Source organism: Homo sapiens, chromosome 12 (assembly GCF_000001405.40).
Source record: "Homo sapiens chromosome 12, GRCh38.p14 Primary Assembly".
NCBI lineage: Eukaryota > Metazoa > Chordata > Mammalia > Primates > Hominidae > Homo > Homo sapiens.
This window is the reverse complement of record NC_000012.12, coordinates 51,355,342-51,368,105: the sequence shown is the minus strand read 5'-3', so window position 1 is coordinate 51,368,105 and position 12,764 is coordinate 51,355,342. Positions and strand designations below refer to the sequence as shown.

General features: G+C 50.4%; 1 protein-coding gene across 21 annotated transcripts in view, besides 1 other annotated feature; it reads left to right on the top strand.

Moving 5' to 3' along the window:
* GALNT6 (polypeptide N-acetylgalactosaminyltransferase 6) overlaps window positions 1–12,764 on the top strand; it is a 40,422-nt gene that overhangs the window by 23,568 nt on the left and 4,090 nt on the right. For all 21 annotated transcript variants that reach the window (XM_006719214.3, XM_005268607.2, XM_047428175.1 and 18 more), the window contains 7 exons: window positions 2,527–2,676; window positions 3,751–3,985; window positions 7,268–7,385; window positions 8,774–8,974; window positions 9,845–9,976; window positions 10,656–10,757; window positions 12,148–12,300. In XM_006719214.3, the coding sequence (XP_006719277.1) occupies window positions 2,527–2,676; window positions 3,751–3,985; window positions 7,268–7,385; window positions 8,774–8,974; window positions 9,845–9,976; window positions 10,656–10,757; window positions 12,148–12,300 (1,091 nt within the window). The remainder of the gene's footprint in view (window positions 1–2,526; window positions 2,677–3,750; window positions 3,986–7,267; window positions 7,386–8,773; window positions 8,975–9,844; window positions 9,977–10,655; window positions 10,758–12,147; window positions 12,301–12,764) is intronic.
* Window positions 10,253–10,302: an enhancer, noted in NCBI's record as "active region_6378". NCBI's record gives its function as "activates an Ori minimal core promoter by ATAC-STARR-seq in GM12878 lymphoblastoid cells {active_cell/tissue: GM12878}" and the evidence as "EXISTENCE:reporter gene assay evidence [ECO:0000049][PMID:35858748]".

Below are 12,764 nucleotides of genomic sequence, written 5' to 3'. Positions count from 1 at the left end.
AGAGACCACCTTGAAACTCAGGTGCATTAAGTCCTTGGCCTTCTGATCTTAATCTGCTCCAGAATTAAAAAATTAAAAAAAAAAAAAATTCCATGGCCTCACTTCCCCTGGAGGGAGAAGGTGGGGAGTCCTCACATGCAGACTGGCTAGGATCCTGCTGCTGCCCTTTGTGCTTCTGCCACCCTGGGCTAGTCACTTTGAGTCTTACTTTCCCCATCTATAAACACTGGGGACAATACTCCCTGTTTCATAGAGTTGTTAACTATCATAGAGAAGATTAAATAAAGAAGTCACCATGAAGACACCTACCTCACCCACACCGGCACACACTCCAGCTCAGTGCTGGGTTATTGTGTGCGTGCATTTGTGGGAGATCAATTGCATGCAACCCCCTAAGCTGCTTAATTTCAGGACCTGCCGTTTGTAGAATGCTGCATTCAGAGCAAGGCCCAAGCTCTGGGCTGATCCCACAGTCCAAAAGGAAAAGGACACACAATTGTCACATCTGTCCCCCACATCTGAAACTGCAGGCAACTCCATTCTGCACAGAACAGAACCGTGGCAGAGATAAACCAAAATGGCAGTTAGTAAAACATAGTAAGGTTTGGAATTCGGTATGTTTCAAGATGGACTGCTTCAGAATAGAGCTATTCTTCGTTTGTTTTTTGTTTTGAGACAAGTCTTGCTATGTCACTCAGGTTGGAGTGCAGTGGCATGATCTCAGCTCACTGCAACCTCCACCTCCTGGGTTCAAGCAGTTCTCCTGCCTCAGCCTCCCGAGTAGCTGGGTTTACAGGTGTGCGCCACCACACCTGGCTAATTTTTGTTTGTTTGTTTTTGGTTTTTTTGAGACGGAGTTTCGCTCTTGTTGCCCAGGCTGGAGTGCAATGGTGCAATCTCGGCTCACTGCAACCTCTGCCTCCCAAGTTCAAACGATTCACCTGCCTCAGCCTCCCGAGTAGCTGGGATTACAAGCATGCGTGCCCAGCTAATTTTGTATTTTCAGTAGAGACAGGGTTTCTCCATGTTGGTCAGGCTGGTCTCGAACTCCCAACCTCAGGTGATCCACCTGCCTCCGCCTCCCAAAGTACTGGGATTACAGCCATGAGCCAGCGCGTCTGGCCTAATTTTTGTATTTTTAATAGTGGCAGGGTCTCACCATGTTGGCCAGGCTGGTCTCAAATTCCTTGGCTCAAGTGATCCATCTGCCTTGGCCTCCCAAAGTGCTGGGATTACAGGAGTGAGCCACCGTGCCCAGCCAGAATAGAGCTATTGTTAATGCTCTGAGGATTTCAGACTAAATTACAGGGCCATGAACTAAAACTCTTCTTTGAAAGGAGCTGGAGGTCTCAGTAGAGACATCTTCCCTTCAAAAAGCTTTCCCCGCTCCTCAAATCCAGGAGATTTGGCCCTTCTTTGGGACCCACACCCCAGCACTACCTCTGTTAGATCATGGATCACCTGCCCTGGAATTGCCTGTTTCCTGGTCAGCCTTGCTTCTGGGTGGTTTGTTCCTTAGGACAAATGGTCAAGCCGGCTGGGCTCGCCACTGTGCCTGGTCCGTGGTAGGTGCTTGGTGCAAGTATTTTCTTAATATAATTAAAAAGCTGCTGGGCATGTTTTCACCTTAAAGAATTCTATCTGCAGAGGAGGTTACAAAGGGGATTAGAGTCAGATGTCCTGCTGCTGATCCAGCAAGCAAGGAGTCACCATTTGTGTATGCCCACCCATCGACGTTACCGTGAAGAGCCTGGGAGACAGGGAATCCTAGACACTGGAAAACAACCGTGCAATGGAGCTGTGGAATTGCAGCTCTGGAAGATGGTGGCTGAGAGGGTGGAGAAACTGAGGGAGGCATCTGAGAGCCTCTGTCAGAATTTTGTACTTGGGCCGGGCGTGGTGGCTCATGCCTGTAATCCCAGAACTTTGGGAGGCCAAGGCAGGCGAATCACTTGAGGCCAGGAGTACGAGACCAGCCTGGCCAATATGGTGAAATGCTATCTCTACTAAAAATGTAAAAATGAGCCAGGCATGGTTGCACACACCTGTAGTCCTAGCTACTCAGGAGGCTGAGGCAGGAGAATCACTTGAGCCCAGGAGGTGGAGGTTGCAGTGAGCCAAGATCACGCCATTGCACTCCAGCCTGGGTGACAGAATGAGACTCCATCTCAACAACAACAACAAAAAGTTTGTACTTGATACGTGACCACAGAAACACAACTCTGAGGTGCTGTCCCTGACATTAGAGAGGGTGCCCAGGTGAACAGGCATAGGATCTAGCACCACAGAGCCAGAGCCCTGGTGAGGCAGTTTTGACCACAGACAGGGCTTCTTTCTTCCTCTCCCCATCTTCCCTGTTAACCTCCTTCCCCAGCTCCGGCTTCTGTGGAATGGCTCAGTACAGCAGGTGTTGGGGGTTTAAAATTCAGGCCTGCTAGAGGCCTGAGAGCCCCTAGCTTGGTGCCCACAGGGGATTGGGTATACAGCAAAGTGGTGGACTGGCCACAATGACACTGTCCCTTCCAGAGCACCTAAAGGAGAAGCTGGAGCAGTACGTGAAGCAGCTGCAGGTGGTGAGGGTGGTGCGGCAGGAGGAGCGGAAGGGGCTGATCACCGCCCGGCTGCTGGGGGCCAGCGTGGCACAGGCGGAGGTGCTCACGTTCCTGGATGCCCACTGTGAGTACCAGGGCACCGGCCTGGGTGTAACCTGGAGGCTCCCTCCCTGCTAGAATGAGCCAGGGCCACAGCCTCCCCAAGGCCCCTTCCTGTTCTCTCTTCCGGGAGTGAAGGAGGCTTGGGACCCACTCCAGGTGCCTCTACCCCTTTCTCACCCCAATCCCAAGGATGTTTCATCAAGAAGACAAACATCCCTAAAACAACTGGTGACCCCAAAATCACTGGAAGTGATTTCCAGTGATCACCGGGGCCCCGGACATTCATCCCTCCCTGTACTCCCATCTGCACCTTGCTCTGAGCTTGGCCCCTCAGAGAGGCCTCCTGCTATGACAGAACTGGCTTGTTTGGGGCTTTCTTCTAGGGCAACATGGAGCCAGGAAGGCCTCCTTCTTGCCCAAAACCAAAACACTTCCCCACTGTTGTGGAGGATGAAATATTTTCCCTAGGAGTGGTGATATATATTAGGGGAAGCTCTAGTCTTGGAGTCAGAATTCTTGGTTTGCATTCTGACCCTGCCCCACTAACAGCCTCAGTTTCCTCATTTATAAAATAGGAATGAGGATACTAACCTTACTGAACAGAAATATTACTCTGAGGGCCGAATGAAGTAATAATACGTGCAGAAGCTCACTGAAAATCTCAAGGAGCTAGACAAATGAAAGAGATTATTCTTCTACAATTAGGGCTGAAGCTTGACATGCGGATGCCCCTGGGAGGGGGAACACCCTCTTCTGAAATCCACACGTGGGCCCGGAGGGCTGGGCCAATGGATCGGCTGGAACCCCGGAAGATACCATCCAGGGCCTCCCTGTGCTTTTGGGTCATCTGAGTTGACCATGTTACTCCCCTGAGACCTCCATTCTCCCTGCCAAAGCTGCCTCCGCCTTTGGGGGTAGAGGGGTGGTAGAAGGGTTTTAGGAAATTCTGTGTGCTCCCTGTAGCTGTGGGGCTTGCTGCCTGTAACCCAGGAGTAGGTGGACTGTCTCTTATCCTCCTGGGCATTCCCTCCAGGATGCAGCTTGGGCTCTGCTGTGGGCAGGGCCCTGACTGCTGCCTCCTGGTTGGGGCCTGCAGGTGAGTGCTTCCACGGCTGGCTGGAGCCCCTCCTGGCTCGAATCGCTGAGGACAAGACAGTGGTGGTGAGCCCAGACATCGTCACCATCGACCTTAATACTTTTGAGTTCGCCAAGCCCGTCCAGAGGGGCAGAGTCCATAGCCGAGGCAACTTTGACTGGAGCCTGACCTTCGGCTGGGAAACACTTCCTCCACATGAGAAGCAGAGGCGCAAGGATGAAACCTACCCCATCAAGTAAGGACCGCAGCCTGGTGAGCCCCCAACCTGGCCCCAGTCCTACCCAGTTCCAGGAACCTGTGCCATCTCACATCAACATTTGTTAGGTGCTCTATCAAGCACTTGACATATTGTGATTAATCCTCACTCCCTATGAAGCAGGTACAATACTAAGAATACTAAGGCTCATAGTGATAAACACTGACCTAAGATCATGCAGCTAGCAACAGTGGAGCAAGGACACACTTCCCGGACTGTCTGGCCCTAACCGTGGCACTGCTCTTATTCACCATGACAGTTTGCTCTTATTCACCACTTACCATGTGCCAGGCACTGAACTAAGGGCTATACATTCTTTAGTTTATTCCTCCCTACACATAAAAGGAGTGGCCCATGCTTGCAGATGGGGCAAGAGATGTGATGGAGGCCATTGTGGAATAGTCACTGTAATAAGAGGGAGTGGTATGTGCCCCCAGGTGACTGTCTTTGAAAAGACTGAGAATATACTAAAAGAAAACAGACACATTTTCTGCAGCGTGAAGTTTGTAGCAGTTGCCCTGAACTTCTTTGGTGAAGGGCCAGATGATAAATATTTTGGGCTTTGCCAGCCACATATAGTTTGCTGCATATTCTTCATCTTATTTATTTTTTATTTTTTTTACAAACATTAAAAAATGTAAAAATAATTTTTTGCCCCAGAGGCTTCTAAAACCAGGCAGCCAGATTTTGCCCACAGGCTCTTGTGTGCCAGCCCCTGAGCTGCAGGGTAGACAATTGGAAGTCAACCCACAGTTTAATGCCCACTGGGCTCACCTTTCCCTCTTATACTCACCCCATCCTCCCCTCTCCAGGCAGCCTGTTGGTGTTATTGGAGACTGTAAGTTTATTTTAACAGTTGTCTCAGACAAACCAAGTTGAGGAGTGACTTTTAGTGTAGCCTGTGGTTTGGGATTATTTGTGTCATTGTTATCTTAGACTGGCCAGTATACTTAAGGCTCAACTGAATATACATCCAGGACGGAGGGATGCAGAGGTTGGAGATACAGTAGCCAGAGATAAGAGGGAAGGTTTGAAAGGAGGAAAGGATTGGTGCTTCTTCCTCTCCACGTGCCCAGAATCCTAAAAAATGCTGTCCATGCCAGGCACAGTGGCCCACACCTGTAATCCCAGCTAGATGAGAGGCTGAGGTGGATTAGGTGGATTGCTTGAGCTCAGGAGTTTAACAACAGCCTGGGCAGCATAGCAAGACCCCATCTCTTAAAAAAGAAAAAGAAAAAAAAAAAAACCTGCTCAGAGTCCCAGTAGAAAGGAACTCAGGTGAATGCCACAGGGAGAAATCCCACAGATCCTGAACAGCCAGCTGCTCTGTCTCCATTAGAAGGAGAGAGGGAAAGGAAAAGGCAAAAGAGAGAAAAGAAATTGGAACTTTCCACTGACCCAATGTTTGTTTCATAGCTGCCTTTTGTTTGGTGTGCACTGCAACAGATCCCCACCCCCACCCCCATGCCAGTGACCAGGCACACAGCAGCACAGTCAGAAAGAGGGCACCTGGCCCCCACCCATCACTGACGTCGCAGGCTTCAATGTCCAAGGGCCATACAACTGGAAGACAAAGCTCCAGTGTTTGAGGAATGAATGTGCTCCTTGGCCCACATGCCCCGGTAGCATGCATGGCTTGCCGAGGCTCTTCATGTAGCGCCCCCACCCCAGGAGGACTGCTGACAGTCCCCTCCCGGCCTCCCATCTCAAGCCAACCAGAGCCTAAGAGGAGAGGCAGAGGACCTGGGGGATTCTAGGGGTAGGCCAGGACATAAAGGGTGTTTACTAGAGGTTGCCTGTGGTTGTGAATTTACAGTGAAGCTTCCCATGCAGGGTTTGTCCTCATGGCTAATCCATCAGTGACTTCTCGGTCTGGGAGACTTCTCAAAGACAAGACTCAGGGCCTGTGGGGGAGGAAGCAGGTTGGCTTCCAAGTGCTCCTCTGCAGTTCCAGCACTCTCTGAGCCTCTCAGGGTGCTACTTGTGCCGGTTTAAGACCCCTGGGAGAGGCCAGAGCCTCTTCCAAAGTGATAGGAAGCCAGCCTGAGCACGACTGAAATTCCTTCCAGAAAGTGGCTGCAGGAGCCAACTTCAGGTAGACAAGAGCAACCACAGGGTAACACCAGGGTCACATTCCTGGGTAGGCACCTTGATGGATCATGCGAATGAACAGTGATTGGGCCCCAGCTGTGTGTAAGGCACCTAGATAGGTTCTGGGGTTACAGGGGTTCTGTATCTTTCTGCTTGGTTGTACCACATGAAGCTGCCCACTGAGGGCAGCAAAGCCCTAGCCATGCCAGGCTGGCCCAAACAGAAACCAGCAGCTGATGATTGTGCTCCTGCCATGTCTCACCGGCCCCCACCCCAGCATTCCATCTTGCTTATACTTCCCCGGGTCCGCTTCGATACCCTAACGCTTAGCCCAGTCCCTCTTCGAAGCAACCTGGTATCTAAATTCTAGGAATTAGATGTTTTTGTCAATTTATCTTATCTTGAGTCCACACCTCCCTGCCTGTGTCTGAAAGCCAGAATCTTTTTATAACCTTCTAAATGTTCCCTGTAGCCCAAATTGAGCTTGATCTCACCTGACCTTCCACTGTTTCCAGGAGCACCTTTTATCAGCTTTCTCTGTTAAAAGCAACTGGCAACTTCTCCCCAAATCTACAGTTTCTCATGCAGTGTAAATCACCAGGGCTAGGCGCCTACTAAAACTGTGGCTTAATAGTCCCTGAGGGGCAGGGGCCCTGAAACAGAATGGAGTCAGCCCAGCTGACAATATTCATTCATTCATTTATTCATGGTTTGAATCCTGCCTATTTTCAAAAACAATTTCACACAGCTTCTGAAAGTTGAGTATCTCCTAGGCTCCAGGCACTTTGCTGCCAAAAAGTAACTAATGGTAGCTTTAACCTCTGTGACTAGATTGAGCTCTGGGGGAATAGGATCTGTCTTTCTCCGTTCTGTGTGTCCATCATGTAGCACGGGCCCTGGTGGCCAGTGTTACGTGCATCCTAGGTTGAACGAATGAATGAGTGCCTTTTAGAGGATAATTACATATTTCCTTGACCTGGTCCTAGAAGGGGAAGAGGACATAGTAAAAGCTAAATGATGAGTGAGTTAGTGGATGAGGGGCTGCACGTCCTGAGAAAGAGGAAAGGAGGGGGAGGTGGGTTAGGAGGGGAGTCCACAAACAGCTTTCCCCGCCAGGCTCCGCTCCTCCTCTCCCAGAAGATGCACACACTTCTCCCTCTGTCTCTCCAGATCCCCGACGTTTGCTGGTGGCCTCTTCTCCATCTCCAAGTCCTACTTTGAGCACATCGGTACCTATGATAATCAGATGGAGATCTGGGGAGGGGAGAACGTGGAAATGTCCTTCCGGGTGAGAGTGAAGAGGGCTTTGGGGGGAACCACAACATCCCAGGCGACAGCTTGAGAAACATCTCTCAGGCAGAGGTGGCATCAGGGACATCCCATCTGGAACTGAACTAGAAAGGGTGGCTATTTCCCAGTGTGTCTCTTCCTCTTTTCTGCTCCCCCTGTCCATGGCAGTAGGGCTTGGGCAGTCAGCCTGGACAGCTCAAAACAAACTACTGGGCACAACTTCTCAGAGGCAAGGAATAATAGGGGTAATGAGGACTGGACATCTGGTGACTGGGGACTCTTTTGCGATGTCTGTGGGAAAGGGTTAGGGTGAAGATAGAAACAGGTTAGTATGTTCACAACTAGGGCTAGAAAAAAAAAACAGATGAGTAACCAGTCATCATCCTTTTTCTGGAAAAATCAGGCTCCCCTTCCCAGTTCAAAGGACACATGCCCTGGTAACCTTTGAAGTTTCCCTACCTATGTACAATAAGCCCTTCATAACAGTCAGAGAAGATGGTGGCCCCAACTCTGGTGGACCCCAGAACTCTGAGAGATTCCAGGAATTAGGCAAATCAGGATTAGGTCAGGAAGCAAGGATTGCCTCTCCATGAAACCTACACAAATCTCCATGCCATGGAAAAGTAATTAGTAAGTAGATGAGCTCATTTATGAAGTCACCTCTCACGGTGCCTGATGCATATTAAGCACGTAATTGATGCCTGCTGTTACTATAACGATTATGTATTTCTGTTGCTGCCACACTAAAATGAATAACAACATACTTTCCCACCTAAAACCCAAAAGAAGAAACCAGTGGGAGGGATGTCTTCAGCCAGCCCACCAGCATAGAAAAGGGTCACCTGCCAGTCACCCCAACTCCCAGCGGCCCAATCCTAGGCTCCTCCATGAGCCTCTGACCTCTGTTCACCTTCCTAGGCAGCCAGTGTGCTAAGGGCCCAAGTGACTACCACTAGCCACCTAGCAGCCAACTATCCTTGCTATTAATTAACAGACTGATGCTCTGGTTTTTATCACCTGAGGGAGCTGATAAACTCACATTTCCAGGTCAAAAAGCCAAGTGATCAGAGCTCAGAGTAGGTATACAGGCACAGGTAACAAAAATTAACCAGCAGGCTTTTCCCTAAAGTGGGCCCTGGTAAACACAGGACCCTGCAGTCTCCCTGTGCTTAAGTCAGAGTGAACCAACATCAGAAAGCCTGGGATCGTGTAGTCATGGCCTAGGAAGAAGCCTGGTCGGTATCCTTTTTCCCAGGGAGAGAGAGCAGCATTTGCCCAAGTCCTTGGACCTGGGGTCTGGTGCTCTGGGAATAGAATAGAGCTGCTTATGGGGAGACTGTCTCACCTAGCCCACTGAAGGCCTCATCCTGTCTCCTCTTACATCAGGTGTGGCAGTGTGGGGGCCAGCTGGAGATCATCCCCTGCTCTGTCGTAGGCCATGTGTTCCGGACCAAGAGCCCCCACACCTTCCCCAAGGGCACTAGTGTCATTGCTCGCAATCAAGTGCGCCTGGCAGAGGTCTGGATGGACAGCTACAAGAAGATTTTCTATAGGAGAAATCTGCAGGCAGCAAAGATGGCCCAAGAGGTGAGAGGAAATGGTTCTCGGAGAGGTTTAGATGAAGAGAAGTACGGCCCCCAGACCCTGTTCATGGGCCTAATGGCTGGGACCCACCTCATCTCTACCATCTGGCGCCTCCCTTCACCCTCAGGGACCTGTGAGCTAGAGCCCAGGAGAAGGCCACAAGGCACATAGGTTTCAAAAGCTAGAGAATGTTGTCCCTACGCATAGAGTCTCTGCATCCCTTTGGAGGGGAAGGGAGGGAAAGGAGATTTGGAGGAAAAGCCTCTTACGGAGGCTTTGGAGGCTTTGGAGGAATGGCTCTGAGAGCCTCGGCACTGGGGAGTGGGACATAATTGTCTGGGGAGTCACAGGAGATGGACCGATAAGCAGGGGACTCCAAAGCTAAGGCGGGGTTTTTGGGATTGGATGTGAGGGCTGGGCCAGTATCTTTAACAGGTCCTGAGTGGGAATGAACATGAGAGACAGTAGCCCCAGGCGCTCCATGCTATCTGCACTACTTCAGCCCAGACAGGAAGGTCAAAGACTGGTGGAACTGGCTGGGTGTGGTGGCTCACGCCTGTAATCCCAGCACTTAGGGAGGCCGAGGCGGGCAGATCACCTAAGGTGAGGGGTTTGAGACCAGCCTGGCCAACATGGTGAAACCTCATCTCTACTAAAAATACAAAAATTAATTGGGCGTGGTGGTGCGCGACTGTAGTCCCAGCTACTCAGGAGGCTGAGGCAGGTGAATCGCTTGAACCCAGGAGGGGAAGGTTGCAGTGAGCCGAGATTGCACCACTGCACTCCAGCCTGGGCAACAGAGTGAGACTCCCTCTTAAAAAAAAAAAAAAAAACTGGTGGAACTGATCCTTAGGGGGCTGGCTTGATTGACAGAAATCCTTCGGTGACATTTCGGAACGACTGCAGCTGAGGGAACAACTGCACTGTCACAACTTTTCCTGGTACCTGCACAATGTCTACCCAGAGATGTTTGTTCCTGACCTGACGCCCACCTTCTATGGTGCCGTAAGTCTTGAGAACCAACCTGCCTGCCCATCACCACAGCACCCCTTGGAGAAGTTCAAGACCACTGACCCCACAGATGGATGACAAACAAGAATTGAGTTTTGCCCTGCACCCTCCTTTATCCAGGAGGAGGACTGAGAGGCCACGTTGGGGCTTCTAGAGATAGCAAAAAACCTTATAAAGGGCAAAACAACCCACAAGCAGTGGTCCTGAAACATTAGCATGCATCAGAATCACCAGGAAGGCACGGTAAAACGCTAGGGCCCATCCCCAGAGTTCCTGATTCAGAAGGACTCAGGGGAGGTCTGAAAACTTGCATTTCTCACGAGTCTCCAGGTGATGCTGATGGTCCAGGGCTCACATTTGAGAACCACTGCTTATAAGGAAACTCCCACGTGCTGAGGGCTTCTTCCAGGGACCTGGCATCCTGGGAGGTTCCCTGCCTGCCCCACAGAGGGGTTCAGTCCTGCCCTTTCCAGCCTCTGGGGCTCTGCAGCTCACTTTGCTGTTAGCTCCAGGCATGTGGGTTAACGCACAGAGGAGAGAAATGACGGGGGAAATCCAGCCATGCAAATTTGTTGCAGTTGACTGGAATTTGTTCCAGTGGGGCCCCATACCACACATGAGGAACCTCCTGACTGTGCCATCCTGCTTCCCCTCTCTGCTCACCCTTCTGCAGATCAAGAACCTCGGCACCAACCAATGCCTGGATGTGGGTGAGAACAACCGCGGGGGGAAGCCCCTCATCATGTACTCCTGCCACGGCCTTGGCGGCAACCAGGTATGCAGCCCACCCATCTCCGGAGCATCTCCTCTCCTCACCGGCTCCTTTTCTCTACCCTAAAGAGTCCTTTCCTGAGGACTGGGAGGGAGGAGATACCATCCCTGCCCTCAGGAAGCTTCCAGTCGGAGGAGAAGGCATAACACACACAAGGTCTGAATAAGGGACATCCGGAGAGAACGAGGCATCGGTGCTGGGTGTGAGAAGGGGATGGGAGGGAGGGTTGTTCATCAGAGGAGGCTTGAGGAGGCTAGCTGCTGGGGGATATTTAGGGGTGAGGGTGGAAAATTTTCCAGCACATCCCATCACCTGCACTCAACTTCTATCTTCAATGCATCCTCTGCCCAGAAGCTACCACTCTGATCCTACCACCTTCCAGTGACCCCAAAACTAGGTGCCCAGCACTAGTAAGTGAGAGGCACTGAAAACAGAGCCAGAGTGGGGAAAGGAGTGGTGTGGGTCACTGAACAAGCCCGCTGGCATATGTAGGTGAAGACAGTCATTCTACAGCAGTTTCCTGTACCACTGGCCTGCAAGATGATTTCCAGTGGTGCACTGGAGAACATTTTTTATTTTAATAGTAATGTATTAGCAAAAATAGAACAAGCATATCACATGATTTCACGGATGTTACTTAAAATGAGGCTAAGTTAAATTGAATTTTAATCTAATTTAAAGGAAATATGATTAGGCACGGTAGCCCACACCTGTAATCCCAGCACTTTGGGAGGGTGAGGCAGGTGGATCACATGAGCCTAGGAGTTTGAGACCTGTCTGGGCAACATAGCAAGACACCCCATCTCTATAAAAAATTTTTAAAAAATTAGCTGAGTGTGGTGCTACACGCCTGCAGTCTCAGCTACTCAGGAAGCTGACATGGAGGATCGCTTGAACAAACGAATTCAAGGTTGCAGTGAGCTATGATCATGCCACCACACTCTAGCTTAAGCAACAGAGCAAGACCCTGCCTCAAAAAAAAAAAAAAAAAAAAAAAAGAGAAAATATACTGGTTGGGCGCAGTGGCTCACACCTGTAATCCCAGCACTTTGGGAGGCCAAGGTGGGAGGATCACTTGAGCTCAGGAGTTTGAGACCAGCTTGGGCAACATAGCAAGACCCCATCTCATAAAAAAGAATTTTATATACATATACATATATATATACACACATATATATATACACACACACATATATATATATGTATATAAAATTCCAGCATAACCCTGATATGGTAACAATCCTGAAGGCAGCACATAAATGAGTAAAGTCTTGGCATGGCCTCACATTCACTCTCCTCCCCAGGAGACCATGCATGGTAGACAGCTCAGGGCAGGTGGCTTTGGAAGGCTGGGGGTGAACTCTCCACCTGCTTCTCTTGTCTTGATTTCCAGTACTTTGAGTACACAACTCAGAGGGACCTTCGCCACAACATCGCAAAGCAGCTGTGTCTACATGTCAGCAAGGGTGCTCTGGGCCTTGGGAGCTGTCACTTCACTGGCAAGAATAGCCAGGTCCCCAAGGACGAGGAATGGGAATTGGCCCAGGTGAGTCAGTGTCCAGAAAGCTCAGAATCAAGAACTTGAGGCCAGGTGTGGTGGCTCACGCCTGTAATCCCAGCACTTTGAGAGGCCGAGGAGGGCAGATCACGAGGTCAGGAGTTCGAGACCACCTGGCCAACATGGTGAAACCCCATCTCTACTAATAATACAAAAATTAGCTGGGCATAGTGGTCGGCGCCTATAATCCCAGCTACTCAGGAAGCTGAGGCAGGAGAATTGCCGGAACCCAGGAGGCGGAGGTTGCAGTGAGCTGAGGTCGTGCCATTGCAGTCCAGCCTGGGTGACAGAGCAAGACTCCATCTTGGGAAAAATAAAAAATAAAAAGAGAACTTGAGGCCACATCGGCCCCTCTATATTTTCTTCATTTTCTTCCTGAGACGCCATGGGGTGGAGTAGAGCAATGTAGAAGGTAGGTGAGTGTGTGTGTGGCCACAGGCAGGGTTCTTCAG